Genomic DNA, 15,259 nt, shown 5'->3' with positions numbered 1-15,259 from the left:
CCGGAGTTTTGACTTCTCTTGTGTGAAAGGAACACCCTTGACCTGAGGCAGTTCCTCTGTCGGAGCCCAGGGGGTCTCGACCCAGCATCTCACGGGTCCTGCGGGTTCTGGCCTGGTGCCTGGGTAACCTCGAGGAGGCCTGGAGGTGGGGCTTAAACTTGAGATTTCAGTTCACTGCTTTTGGAGTGGGAACTTGCTCTCAATGATGGGGTTTGCAATGTTTTGCAAGGTTCTCAAGAGACAGTGAATGCCACAGGACCCCTGCCTGCCTGTCAGCATCCTGGGGGCGCCAATAGTGCCCTGAAAAAAAAGAAACTAGCAAGTTAATGGCAGGTGCTTCCAATAAGCACTAGGGAGGCAGCTCCAAGCCTCCAGCCTCTCGGGGCCCACAGCACAGGCAGCCGCCTGGCAGCCTCCCGTGCTGGCTGTCTCAGGCAGCCCAGGAGTGGTGGGGGACGGGGTGGCGGGGGACCAGGGGCTGCCGTTTCACTTTTCAGGCTGTAACCTTGGCTTCTTGCCATTGAGTCTAGGCAGCCACATTTATCAGGCGGCAGAGTGGCTCCCCACTTGCATGCCCCCCCCCCCGGTTTATTTAATCAATTCCTATCGTCTGACCTTCAGGTTGACCCTGCTTTTCTGCTATTCCAGACAGACACAGCCAGGGACACAGGTGCAGCTGAACTCCTGACTGAATTCAGCAGTAAAAACTCTGAAGACCGCCCTGCCTCACCTCCTGTTGATGTGGCCTTCAGGGTAAACTCCCTCTCTGGACCCTGAGGGGATCAGCCTGAGGCACCCCAAAATATGCCATTTGGCATGAGGATGATCTCGAGCTGAAAGTAGTTAAGGGTCTGCAGGTACAGGAAGAGTTCTGTGCCCTCCCTCTTTCTGCCTAAAATCAGGACACACACCTTGCTTTGGGAAGGTGGCCCCCTCTCCTGCACCAGGATAAGGAGACCTTTTATCACTGGAGATGCAGTCGGCCCTAGATGAGTCTGCAGAAACGGGTCTCAGTAAAATAATCCTTAACCTCCATTAGTTCCCCCCAATATTTCCTACTCTCTTTCCCAGATGTATCACCCGCTAGAAGATGGAACCCCTTTTCCTTTGCTAAAATGGCATATAAGGCCCTGGATCTTACTGCTTCTCTGAATTTCACTTCTTTTCTGCGAACTCTGTGCTAACTGTTCATGCAATTTGTATTCTTTTCTGTTCATCTTTCTTTTACCAGTCAATTTGCAGCTCCCCAGGTACCAAACCTAAGAGGGTGGATGAATTTTTCCTCCCTGACAACTGTCACAATCTTTGATGATATGTATGGCAGTATGCAGCTTTTATTTTTGTGAGAAACAAACTCACCCGTCCAAACCCGAAACGTGGACTCAGAGACCCGGAGAACAGCAAAAGTGAGACTTTTAATGATGATTTTGCAAGATCAGGTGTCTGATGAGCAGGCACACCCACCACAGTTTCAACAAGTAATTTATTCCCTAGCGCACGGGCCCCTTGCCCGGTTCCTCATAGGCTGAGTACTGTGGGGTCACAATCTTCCTGGATGTCGCCTGTTGGTTGTTGGGCAGGGGCTTTAGGTGTCTTCTTTAGGGTGGTCTTGCTGCATTTTGCTGCAACCCACAATGCATTGCAATCCTAGTCACCTCAGGGGCTCTTCAAGTATTTGACTTATGACTTAAGTAGCTGGGCAGGCTGATAAGAACAGACAAAGTGAGCTATTTTGCAGACTAGTAAACTTTCCTTTTAGACTAAACTTCTTTGGTTCGGGTGAGAACAACTAAGGGGTTGGCTGGTGACAAGCAGGTGTTGGCTATCCAAGCAGGGGCCTAGTATATCCTGTTTCTTCGGTAGCTTGCTGACCTAAACCCATTCAAGGCCCTTTGTCTTGGAAATGGACCACTATAGACATGATTTCTTTCAATTCCCTCCTCGTTTTCTTTTTAACCCTATTGGTCCCATTTACACATTGATTTTTGTGTCCTTTGGTTCTTAAATTTATTAGGTATTCTTTTAGGGACTCCTATTGAGTTCATATAAAAGTTGGGATTAAAATAATTTGTTAGATCTTTCCAACTTTAGTGGCTGTGTGGATTCTCAGAGATCTTATGGAATGCCAGGGTGAATGGAATGGCTAATAGAGCTAAGGCACAAGTCCTGGTCCAGTTGGACGGTAACAGGTCATGGAGGCTCCTCTTCCCACAATACCACCAGACATCAGCCCGGGGTTATGAAGAGCCGAGTCGTTGCCTTTGTTGGACTCACTGGTAATATTTAGGATGTGGGTACAGGTTGAGAGTTCTCCCATGGACTTATTGAACTCTGCCGCCTACCTAGAGAGGCAAGAGGGGTGGTTCATATTCCCTGTGGAGAACGAGGGAATTGCTCTAGGGTCTGATCTCTGCAAGGCAGGAAAGAGCAATGATAAGACTTTTGCAAGTCTCATTTCCCCATGCATCCCTGTCCTGGTATAGAGCCAACATGCAATGCATTCCTTTGGGACTGGTTTCCCAACCTAGGGGAAACGGAACCACCTGTGCCTGAGGCCACCCAGCAGATCATGCGTAACAGTCGCTCTTATTAAGAGCTAGTAGGAGGCCCGGCGCGGTGACTCATGCCTGTAATCCCAGCAGTGTGGGAGGCCAAGGCGGGAGGATCGCCTGAGGTCAGGAATTCGAGGCCAACATGGTGAAACTCAGTCTCTACTAAAAATACAAAAAAAAAAAATTAGCCAGGCGTGGTGGTATGTGCCTACAATCCCAGCTACTTGGGAGGCTGAGGCAGGAGAATCACTTAAACCCGGGAGGTGGAGGTTGCAGTGAGCCGAGATTGTGCCACTGCACTCCAGCCTGGGCAACAGAGTGAGATTCCATCTCAAAAAAAAAAAAAAAGAGCTAGTACTGAAAATTTGACCCATTCAACTCAGGCATTTACATCCCCATATCCAGTCTCGATTTCTAAAGTTGGCCTTAAGTCAGTTATCTTTATTATTTTTACTCACTTAGGGTCGTTGTCTGGTGGGTTGAAGGAAGTAGTGGGACCAGGGGTTATAGTAATCCTGGGTGGGCTTGGGGTGGAATTGGTAACATGCCTAAGAGCTAATTGTTCCACGGGATCCCTTCCTGAGATATCTATTCCTGATCCATACCTCCCGGGTTCCCGGTCTAGGGTAGCTGGGTTGTTTATGGTACTTCATGTAGGATTGAATGCTAAATTTCTACAATTGGGTGGCTTGGAGCTTTTATACAAATGTATTTTATTCTTTAAGGGTTTGTTTTGGAAGAGTGACTCACCCAGTCTCGAAATTGAGTGGTCCATTAGACCTTATTCCAGCTAGCACAGGGCTTTCCCCAATAGCGACCTGTTTCAGGACCTAGATATTTGTTTGCTTATGACTGCTGCCTTTGGTTGCCTAAATTCCCATAATGTAAGATTTGGCAGGCATTGAACTTTATGGTCTGGGGGGCGGGCGAGGTCTTAGTTACATTGACTATTAGTTTGATTGGATATTCCTTACTTTCTACCCCTAGTGCTGGGCCCTATCCAATACCGAGGTCTCCTTTCACCCTTCGTGTTAGGATTGATCCTAACCATATCCACCTGCAATGACAGAGCCTGCTCATAGCTTCCTTCTAGGTTTTCCTTAGAGTTAGCTTCAGAGTTCCTTAGGTGATCTACACACTTCCCATTCCCCCTTTCCCTTCCTTCCGGGGATTCTTTTTACCAGTCTCTTGACCCGAGTGTCATGTGTCCACCCCCATCCAGCTGTTTGTACAGCTGTCTCAGTCGTCAGGAGAGCTTGATAGGGACCTTCCCAGCTTGGGCGGAGCTTGTCTTCTTTCCAAGTCTTAATTAGCACCGAGTTGCCAGGCTGGAAGTGGTGACCCATGAACTCAAGAGACCCAGGAGTCCTTTCACCCTAATGGATGACAGGGTGGAGAATATGCCAGTATTTTATATTTATTTATTATTTATTTTGAGACAGAGTCTCGCTCTGTCGCCCAGGCTGGAGTGCAGTGGTGCCATCTCGGCTCACTGCAAGCTCCACCTCCCGGGTTCACGCCATTCTCCTGCCTCAGCCTCCTGAGTAGCTGGGACTACAGGTGCCCGCCACCACGCCTCTAATTTTTTTTTTTTTTTTTTTGTATTTTTAGTAGAGACAGGGTTTCACCGTGTTAGCCAGGATGGTCTTGATCTCCTGACCTCGTGATCCCCCCACCCGCCGGCCTCCCAAAGTGCTGGGATTACAGGCATGAGCCACCGCACCCGGCCTGCCAGTATATAATTTCTTAAAAATTGGTCTTCGTTTTCCATAGTAAGAAGATCATTAGTCCCAGCTAAATATGGGAATCCATATAGTAACTGGTAAGGGGACAATCCCAAATCTTTCCTTGGGGCTGTCCTAATCCTAAGAAGTTGCTACTGGGAGTCATTTGCTCACAGGCATTTTAGTTTCTAAGATTAGTTTAGAAATATGCTTTTAGAGAGTCTTATTTATTCTTTCTACTTTTCCAGAGGAGGGAGGATGCCAAGGGGTGTGGTAATCCCATTTAATGTGTAAACCTTCCATAATTCCCCTTAGCACCCCTGAGGTAAAGTGGCTTCCATTGTCTGAATTTATATTTATTTAACGAGGCCAAATCTGGGTATGATTTGTTCTAAGATTATTTTGACCGCATGCCTCGTGGTGGCATTTGGGCGGGGGAAGGCCTCCACCCAGCCGGAGAGGTGGTCTCCCATTACCAGGAGATACTTCAGTCTCCCTATTTGGGGCATTTCTGTAAAATCTACTTGAATGCTTCGAAATGGACTTAACCCAGGATGTCTTCCTCCGGTAGTCTGTTTTCTAACTACCTTTTTGTTTATTCTCTGGCAGGTCACATAACCCCCACACACTTGTTTAGCCAAGGGTAGAAATCCCTACACACCCATAATTCTCGAGTGTTGCATCACACGTGGCCGGGGGACCCCAGTGACTCCCCTGATGCACTGCGGACATCAGTGTGCTTATCATTTCTCTCCCACCTCCCATTCTTAGTTTGAGTGGCCCTATCTTGCCCAACTTTTCCTCCTCCTCCCTAGAAAATTAGGGTCTTAATATCACCTTAAGGATATCTGGGATTAGGCTAAACACTCTAACTCCTTCCTCCAGGGAGGCTTGCATAGCAGCTTCATCCACAAACCTGTTCCCTACAGCTTCTGCAGTGTTTCCTCTCTGATGGCCATTTACATGAACTATGGCTACCTCTGCTGGAAGCAGGAGGCTTCCTAAAACGTTTGACCTGTTCCCCATGTACCAATTCTTTCCCGCTGCTATTTATTAGGCCCCACTCCGTCCAGATCTTTCCAGAGGTGTGCACCACTCCATAGGCATATTTGCAATCAGTATATATAGTGCCTTCTTGGCCTTCTAGGAGCTTTAGGGCCTGGTTAAGAGCATACAACTTCCAGGTTTGGGCTGATCAGTTATTGGGTAATTTACGTTTTTCATATAAAGATTGTTAGTTTTCATTAACGACAGCATAGCCATTGTGTCTTTTACCATCTATCACTCGGGATGACCCATCCGCAGACAGCCTCATCCCATCATGCAGGTTCTCTAAGGCCTGGTCTCACTTTAGTTTGCTATGCTATGACAGCCAAACAGTTATGGTTTGATGTCTCCTCATTCTTCTTTCCTTTCCATAAGAAACTGGCTGGATTTAAGCAACTATCTGTTGTTAAGACAAAATTATCTTTTTTTTTTAGAAATATGGTTTCATATTTTAAAAGTTGGGAATCAGTCAACCATCTCCCAGCTCTTTGACTGAATACATTCCTGACCTGTGTTCACTACCAGGGCCCCACCAAAGGTCAGCTTCTGACACTCCTCTACCAGCAGGGCCATGGCAGCTACTGCTTACTTGCACTTTTGTCTCTGTCCCCCGTTTTTTTAATGGCCTCTCTCTTTTCCTCTTGTATTCTTCCCCCTTTTACATTATCTCTCTCCCGAGTCCCACCTTGTGTGTCCCTCTTTGATCTCTTTCTTTTCCAGTCTCTCTCTCGCTCATTTTCTTCTCTCTCTTTCTCTCTTTTATCCCCTTCTTCCTTTATCTCTCACACTCAGTTTCTCCCTCTTTCTCTCTCTCTGGGTACCAGCGCGCCCACCATGTGAAGCAACAGCTTACTCGCATTAGCTCTCTCACACTGTCCACCTTTATCTCGGCTGCCATCTGCTTCGGCTCTGCGGCTCCCGCCGCCCTATACCTGCAGCTGCACGGCGGCTCTCCCTTGCCTTCGGGGCCAGCAGATGAACTCTTTCTCTCTCTGGGCAGCAGCGTGAGCCATGCCGTGGCTCCCCTCTGTCCAACTGCGAGACGGACAGCTTTGGCTCTCTACATTTGCCATTTCCTCCCCTTTCTCTTTCCGATTTCCCTTCTTACTTTTTTCTCTTTCTCCCTTTCCTAGTTTCTCTTTTCTTTCTTCTTACAAAAACCTTCTGAGCGTCCCTCAGTAACTCCTTAATAAGTTTTTCATCCCATCCGTCAATCTTTTGCAGTTTCTTAGTAGTATCAGGCCAGCTTTTAGTTACGAAATTAGCCTTTAAAAGGCCTTGCCCTACTGGGTCCTCTGGGTCTAATCCTGAATATTTTCTCATTTGAACCCTGACCCTCTGCAGAAACGCAGAGGGAGTTTCCTCTTTTTCTTGTTGAATCTCAAATGCTTTTGAGACATTTTGTGTTCTAGGAGTGGAATTTTTAAATCCCTCTAATTATTAGTTTCCTCAGGTCCTGCATTTGGGCCCAGTCCCCGGGGTTACTGTCACCCCACCCGGTCCCCGGGGTTACTGTTATCCCATCTGGGATTTGCATCTGGGGATTTCTGCTCAGCTGGCAGGACTCCTTGCCCGGGACGATACTGTCTCTCCCAAATGGTCATGGCTGCCCTTCTAGTCATTCCCCTCTCTTCCTGAGTAAACAGAATATTCATGATTGACATTATCTTAGCCCAAGCGTCCAGGAACCCCTGTTTATCCCCAGCGCATCCAAAGAGCGCATTCGGAGCAGAGAGGCGGGGAACTCCAGAGCAGACACAGCCTTCTCACCCAGTTTGGTGAAGTTGGATGCAAGTGTGGATGTGGTTTCTAGTTTCAGGAAGGGCTGGGATAACCACGGTGCAGCCTTCAAGTCCAGGACTTGTCTGGAGGTGCAGCTGTGAGGAGCCCACGCTGGGATGGCAGAGTCCTGTGGCAGGAATCATCCTGCCTATAGCGCTCTCTCGGAGGGCTTGGTTTCCACGGGTTGGCTTCCCCAGCTCTGTGGAAACAGAAGGTCCTTGGCCGAGGGTGCCATGCTTGCTTTGCTTATCTCTACGTGCCTTAAATAGCAGCTCATGCACAGCGGATGCTGGCAAAGGTACTGCTGGACTGACATGATCTCTCATTCTTGGGCGAGTTGTTGTCCCACCTAATGTGGACTGAGCTCATGATAAATTCCCAAGAAATCTTTGCTGATTGTTTTTGTAGCAACCTGGCTTTTATTAGGAGATAGAAACCACACTGTAGGTTAAACAGGGGAGTTGAACATAAAGAATTATTAATGATGATACAAGAAAAACTGTAAACTATAAGGAAACTCTAGATGGTCACCTAGGGCCCAGGGGAGGAGAAACCTGGAGGCACTCAGACCTCCTTAGGGAAGGTGTGGTTGATTCAGCCGAGAGGGGCTCTGGTTTCCATGCCAAGAGGGTTATGGCCAGGCTGAGGCCAGAAGGTCTCAGGGGGACTGTGTTCGGGCCTGTGGCTGGGCTGGGCTCCCCCGGTGTCCTCCCACCCATCTGCAGCCCCTGGCCAACACAGAGGCCTCAGGAGAGCTTCTCCCTCCTCTGAAAGCCTTCTGCTGATGAAGTTTAACACCGCACTCCTTTTCAAGGAGATGAGCGTCCAGGAACCCCTATTCATCTCCGAGGGCACCCGAAGAGCGCATTTGGAGCAGAGAGGCGGGGAACTCCAGAGCAGACACAGCACAGCCTTCTCACCCAGTTTGGTGAAGTTGGATGGAAGTGTGGATGTGGTTTCTAGTTTCAGGAAGGGCTGGGAAAACCACGGTGCGGTCTCCATCCCCTCTCTTCTGTGGCATAGATTTCGGCGAATCAATGCCTACCTTGGGAGTAAACAGGATGGTGCTATTTCCTCAACAAACTTTCTCTCCTGCCCCATTTATAACACAACACGGAACAATTAGTCATCACGGCCTCATCAAGGAAAACAATCAATCTTTCTGAAGTGCTCACATCAGACCTCGAACATCAAACAGTTTAATTCCAGATTAAACACAGCAACAGGGTTTTCATGAGGCTCTTCATTCCGAAGCAAAGTCATTTCGGGTCACTGGCGGAGTGCATTCAATTAGCCTGATCCGAGGGTGGTAAACAGTCCAGGAGGGGTGCCTTTGCATCAGCAACGGCGGGGCCTGTCTGTGCTCGCGTGATCAGGAGCCCCCGGATCTGTGTATAACGAGGAGCGTCGCTGAGGTCTGAGGGGTCCTGGAGAGCAGACTGGAAGGGAGGACCCTTGGAGATCACCTGCGTCAAACTGTCCATTTTACAGACAGAAAACTGGGCCCAGAAGGTCCAGGCTCACAGAGCGCCAGCTATTTATGAAACTGATGGGCGTTTGCTCCAGTCACAGAGCACAGCTACGGAGTCAATACGGATATGCACTCATTCAAGGCACTCATTTCTCATGATCCAACAGACTCGTTGAGGCCTGTGATGTTCCCAGCAAGTAGGAATTAGCCTGATAGGCCTAGAATAATGGAAGCTCAGGACTCGAGAAGATGGTGTCAGTACCCTGGTCGCTCCAGGCACCATCCTACTTTTGGAAGCCAATCTCAGCGTGGATCCCTCCAGCGACTTGCAGGGCAGCTGCGGGCCAGGCCTGGCAGGGGGTTGAAATCCTATCACTGAGCCAGGATAGCGGAATGGGACCGCCACTCTTCATTATGGTTGCTGATTGGATGTTGAAGGCAGGACTCCACTGACAGCTAGGTTCTACCCTTGGGTCTTCCCTGACTGCTCCGTCCCTAACCGCTGCTGGGCTCTGGATCGCCTCTGTGTCCTCTTGCGCAGCCCGCAGCATGTATGGCCATTCTCCTATTAGAGGCACTCCTCACCCGGGTTTTGGCTGTAATGAATACACCTGCGACGGGCATTCCCACGCAGGCTCCGCGGGGACCTGTGTGCGTTCCTCCCGGGTAAATGCCTGGGAGCGGCATCACTAGGTCCTGTGGGAACTGTGTCCCAGTTGGTAAGAAGCCACAACCTGCTTTCCAAAATGGTCATTCTGTGTTCCGAGCGTTCTGGTTGTTCCCTGCGCACACTTGGCGTGGTCAGGCCTTGAGCGTCAGCCGTGCTGGCGGGCGTGCTGGGGAGCAGAGGCGGCTTCATGTGCACTCCCTGGTCCCCGAGGAGGCCGTGCATTTCCTCGTATGCGCGTTGACCGCTCTTAGACCTTTGTAAAGTGTCTGTCTGAGTCTTCTGCTCACTTCTCCTTGGGTTGTTTGTCCTCCTGTGAGGCAGCTGAAGGGGTTCCATACGTGGCAGGATATGGTCCCAGGTGGGATCCGAGCTTGGGGACTTCCTCCCAGTCTGCGGCTCCCAGGGGTTTCTGAAGTAAAATGAGATGCAGGATACACGGGGGCCGGGCCTGCAGCGGCCGCTCAGAAAACGAAAGTGGTGCCTGTTACCAGCTCCTCCTGCCTGCCTGCCACGGACCCCTTGCCCGCATGAGCCCTGAGCCTGCATGTCAGGGAGGAGTTGTCTGTGAGACTCCTCAGGGTGGCTCCGGGGAGGTCTGGGCCTTCGTTTCCCTCTGCAGACTGCGGGGGATGATGGCGACCTGGGCCAGCCCTTCCAGTTAGGGCCCTGCGGCTTGCCTCTGGAGAAAAGGGGAGGTCTCCCTCCCAGGCCGCTTGGTGGGTGATGTCTCAAACAGGCTGGAAGACAGAGAGAGAGACAGAGAGAGAGAGAGAGAGAGACAGACAGACAGAGAGACAGAGAGACAGAGGGACAGACAGAGAGGCAGAGGGACAGAGATAGATAGAGACAGAGAGATACAGAGAGAGCGACAGAGACAGAGATAGAGAGACAGAGACAGACAGAGACAGAGAGAGATAGAGAGAGCAACAGAGAGAGAGCAACAGAGACCGAGATAGAGACACAGAGAGACTGACAGAGAGACAGAGAGAGACACAGTATGAGGAGAAGGAGGGGGAGAGACAGATGCTGCCTGAGCTCTCCACAGAACTCCTTCTCACCAGGAACGCTGGCAGATGGAGAGCCCCTTGTCCACCTGACCCTTGGGTGGTGGGGGGGGTCCACTGACCTTGTTCCCAGGCCCATCCCCACATGTCCTCTCCCCCCACAGGTGCCCTCTGGGGTCCTGGCATTGCACAGTGGCAGAGCTGCGAGGAGCCTCCGTGAGTACCCAGCTCCCCTCACACTCAGGAATGAGGAGACAGGCCCAGGAGGCAGTGCTGGGCCCCAGGTCCTCGGCTGCTCCTTGGGCCCCTTGGGCCGGAGCTGCTCTGGGGGGCTGGAGCGCTGCAGGGCACCCTCCTGTCCGGCCTCTGCCTCCTTTGCTCTGCCAATAGCCAAGTGTACTGGTTCCAGAGACATTGGCTAAAACAAAGAAGATTCTGGAGGAGAAGAGGAAACAAAAGAAGGGGAGGGAGGCCTGGGGGAGGATGGGGGTTCGTTTGGGGAGGAGGAGCCCTATCTGGAGAGGTGTGAGGCGCGTGTGCAGCCAGGGGCCCAGAATCCATGGGCACGCCCCACGCGGGCTGGCTGGCTAGCTTTGTGAGCCTCAGTTTCCCTGTCTATAAAATGGGGAGCATGTAACCACAGTCCTCATGGGGGAACCGTGTTGGGACAGTGCGGGGCAGGGGCTGCCAATGGGGCAGTCGCAGGCTGTGCACGTGTCACGTGTGCACATGCCTGTGTGTGTGGGGATGCGTGTGCACCTGTGTGCCTGGGGACCCATGTCACGTGTGCACATGCCTGTGTGTGGGGGGATGCATGTGCACCTGTGTGCCTGGGGACGCGTGTCACGTGTGCACATGCCTGTGTGGGGGATGTGTGTGCACGTGTGTGCCTGGGGACGCGTGTCACGTGTGCACATGCCTGTGTGTGTGGGGGATGTGTGTGCACCTGTGTGCCTGGGGACGCGTGTCACATGTGCACATGCCTGTGTGTGGGATGCGTGTGTACGTGTGTGCCTGGGGATGCGTGTCACGTGTGCACATGCCTGTGTGGGGGATGTGTGTGCACGTGTGTGCCTGGGGACGCGTGTCACGTGTGCACATGCCTGTGTGTGTGGGGATGTGTGTGCACGTGTGTGCCTGGGGACGCATGTCACGTGTGCACATGCCTGTGTGTGGGGGGATGCGTGTGCACCTGTGTGCCTGGGGACCCATGTCACGTGTGCACATGCCTGTGTGTGGGGGGATGCGTGTGCACCTGTGTGCCTGGGGACCCGTGTCACGTGTGCACATGCCTGTGTGTGGGGGGATGCGTGTGCACCTGTATGCCTGGGGACCCGTGTCACGTGTGCACATGCCTGTGTGGGGGGGGATGCGTGTGCACCTGTGTGCCTGGGGACGCATGTCACGTGTGCACATGCCTGTGTGTGTGGGGATGCGTGTGCACCTGTGTGCCTGGGGACCCGTGTGACGTGTGCACATGCCTGTGTGTGGGGGGATGCGTGTGCACCTGTGTGCCTGGGGACGCGTGTCACGTGTGCACATGCCTGTGTGGGGGATGCGTGTGCACCTATGTGCCTAGGGACGCATGTCACGTGTGCACATACCTGTGTGGGGGGGATGCGTGTGCACGTGTGTGCCTGGGGACGCGTGTCACGTGTGCACATGCCTGTGTGTGTGGGGATGCGTGTGCACCTGTGTGCCTGGGGACCCGTGTCACGTGTGCACATGCCTGTGTGTGTGGGGATGCGTGTGCACCTGTGTGCCTGGGGACCCGTGTGACGTGTGCACATGCCTGTGTGTGGGGGGATGCATGTGCACCTGTGTGCCTGGGGACCCGTGTGACGTGTGCACATGCCTGTGTGTTGGGGGATGCGTGTGCACCTGTGTGCCTGGGGACCCGTGTCACGTGTGCACATGCCTGTGTGGGGGATGCGTGTGCACCTGTGTGCCTGGGGACGCGTGTCACGTGTGCACATGCCTGTGTGTGGGGGGATGCGTGTGCACCTGTGTGCCTGGGGACCCGTGTCACGTGTGCACATGCCTGTGTGTGGGGGGATGCGTGTGCACCTGTGTGCCTGGGGACCCGTGTCACGTGTGCACATGCCTGTGTGTGGGGGGATGCATGTGCACGTGTGTGCCTGGGGACGCGTGTCACGTGTGCACATGCCTGTGTGGGGGATGCGTGTGCACGTGTGTGCCTGGGGACGCGTGTCACGTGTGCACATGCCTGTGTGTGTGGGATGCGTGTGCACCTGTGTGCCTGGGGACCCAGAGGTGAAATCACAACCACCTGAGGTCCCCAGCACCACCTGCCCCCGAGCTCCAGCCCAGGCACCTTGCCTTGCTTTCATCCCAGAAAGGGGTGACTGCAGGCCGGGGCTGCCCTGGTGCAAGGATTTCATCCTAGTACCCATGGCCATCAGGGGAGGCAGCTGGGGCCAGAAATGGGCACCCAGGGACCAGGAGGAGCCCTCTGCGCTATGCCTTCAGCCCTGCCTAAAGGGCATCCCCAGGGAGGCAGGCTTCTCTGTCCAAGCCCCAGCCAGAGCACAGCACAGACTGTTCTGGTCCAATCCAGCCCCCCACCCCCACAATTTGAGGGCAAAGAATGAAGGCCTCCTGACGGGGGCTGGGCATTTGCCACGAAGCCTCATTAACTTGGACACTGTCCTCATTCCACAGGGCAGCACAGCCCCTCAATGTTGGAAAACGGTGGCAGAGCCTCAGATACCTGCCGGGAGTTGGAGGACTGGGATCTGTCCCATCCCGTGGCCTCTGGGCTCACACAGGGTCCCAGCCACAGCCCTGGCAGCCTGGGCTTGATTCCATCTTCTTCCAATGAGAAGAATGTGTTCCTTCCTGCTGACCTGCGGGATTGGAAATGCAAGTGAAATCGCTGTTCCGACGCACAGGTTGTCCACATTATTAATAATAGATGGCCAGTGGGTGAATTATTTTCAGTGGGGGATTATTTTCAGTGGGGGAATTATTTCAACCATCCCACCCAACGTGCAACCTCGGGCCAGAACTGGTCCAGGAATGATCGAGTAAAAGTTTATGATAAAAATATCCAAAAATTGAGGAACTCTATAGCAATTTGACAGGATAATTGTGTCTGTTGAATCTCATACTAAAACATGATGGCTTAAAATGTGTGTGTGTTTTTTTTAAACTAATATATATATATTTTACTTCATTTTACTAGTATTGGTCTGAGGTAGATTGGAAAAGCTTCAGTAACCAGTCTTTGCCACAGAGGATTTGAGAAGCATAGACTTAAACTGTAAAGAATCACCTTCTTCAGCAAAGCAGTTTGGAGACAGCTACGGAGCTGAGTGCTGCAAGAGTGTGGGCTCCGGCACGGGCGTCCCACCCTGGGATGAATCCGGTGCAGGCTTTTCTGAGAGTAATGTCATAAATGTGTCAGCTGCTCTAACAAAGTAACCGTCCTTTGATCAATCCTCTGAGACGTGGAAAAAGGCATAACCACCAGGACATCCGCTGAGCAGCGTCTGAAAGAGTGAAAAACCCAGAAATGGCATGAACGCCCCACAGCAGAGGAGGGGCTGAGAGGGCAGCTCATGCACAGAGCGAGGCATGAGGCAGCCGCTGACGACGGTGCAAACTCGGTTTTGTAGAAGAGCATTCACCAGGAGAAACTGTTCCTGCCTTCATTTATTCATCAAATGTTTACTGATAACCTACAAAGTGCCAGGCAGGTGCCTGGAAGATAGACTGTATTTATTTTAAAAACAGCCTTTGAAACACTGGAACGCATGGTCGCAAGCTGATGAAAAGAAAAGTGCATCTATGCACGGGAAGAGCTAGAACGCTGTGCTTGCAGACGTCACCTGTCACTTGCTCTCGGAGTGGGATTGTGGGCATGTACCTTCTCTTTGGACTTTCCGATATGTTCCATGATGTTCTCTGATGAATATACGGTTTATGAAATTAGACTGCGAAATATGTGCAGTGAAAACAGTCTCCATTTGCATGTTAACACGGCGTGCGGCAGGAAGCATCCTGCAGGTCACTCTGATTTTTTCCAGGACTGCCCAGGGCTCTTGTCCTCAGGGCACCCACCTGCCCATGTGCTCCCTACCCAGCCTGAACCTGAAACAGGCATCCCAGTTCCCCTCTGGCACTGCATCCAAAGGCCCAGCTCGAGGTCTCTTTTCCCAGGTCCCTGTGCCAGCCCCTGACCCTGCCCCTTCCCCAGGAGCAGATCCATGGCTCTCCTGCTGCCCCACAGGCCTCATCCTCCAGTTCACTGGCTTTCAAGGGCCAAGGCCAGAGCACCCAACAGGACTGCCCCCTCCTGCCGAGGCCACCTGAGTGCCTGCCTCTGTGTCCTCCTGCATCTCAGCTGCAGCCTCCACCTGGCCTCAGCTCCAGGCCCAGCCCCAGACACCTGGACCCCACCTGGCAGCCACAATGGTTTGGACATGCAGGATGGGCACTGCACCACCGCCATGCACCCTCCAGGGAGCTCCGGCTGTGCTTGGGCTTAACCCCAACCTCCTTCTGCCAAGGAGGCCCCCAGAACAGGCCCTGACCACCTGTGCTGTTCCTGCGTCCCCGATGGACTGGGCTGAACATTGGTCAGGCCCTTGCTTCAGGAGCCTTGTGCTGCTCCTTCATGAGGCTGAGGCATTCCTCAGAGTTCAGCTTGGATGCCACCTCCTCCAGGAAGCCTCCCTGGTTTTTCCCCTCCATCCTTGAGAGGAGATGAGCTGTTCCTCGTCTGTGCTCATGCAGCCTGCACCTCCCCTACTCCAGGCCCTGCACTGTGGGGGCCGCCTGGCTTCTCTGTCCCCACCAATGGCAATTCCATGAGGTCACATGTGTCTTAGTCCCGGCCCTTGGCACCTGGCACAGAGCCTGGTGTGTAGGGGAGCTCTGAATGTTTGCAGATAAATGCTCCTGGAGTGTGCAAGTGGACTCGGAATACACACGGAATATACACAAACATTTAGGTGCTGTGTCCTCCTGGGGGACTCTGTGTGCTC

At 52.5% G+C, this 15,259-nt stretch overlaps 2 annotated features.

The window, feature by feature from the left end:
* Nucleotides 11,946-12,612: an enhancer, noted in NCBI's record as "H3K27ac-H3K4me1 hESC enhancer chr9:138176843-138177509 (GRCh37/hg19 assembly coordinates)". NCBI's record gives its function as "activates a minimal SCP1, AML or CMV promoter by ChIP-STARR-seq in primed H9 embryonic stem cells {active_cell/tissue: H9 hESC(primed)}" and the evidence as "EXISTENCE:reporter gene assay evidence [ECO:0000049][PMID:30033119]".
* Nucleotides 14,087-14,634: an enhancer, noted in NCBI's record as "H3K27ac-H3K4me1 hESC enhancer chr9:138174821-138175368 (GRCh37/hg19 assembly coordinates)". NCBI's record gives its function as "activates a minimal SCP1, AML or CMV promoter by ChIP-STARR-seq in primed H9 embryonic stem cells {active_cell/tissue: H9 hESC(primed)}" and the evidence as "EXISTENCE:reporter gene assay evidence [ECO:0000049][PMID:30033119]".

Source organism: Homo sapiens, chromosome 9 (genome assembly GCF_000001405.40).
Source record: "Homo sapiens chromosome 9, GRCh38.p14 Primary Assembly".
Classification (NCBI taxonomy): Eukaryota; Metazoa; Chordata; class Mammalia; order Primates; family Hominidae; genus Homo; species Homo sapiens.
This window is presented reverse-complemented; position numbering and strand designations above follow the sequence as displayed.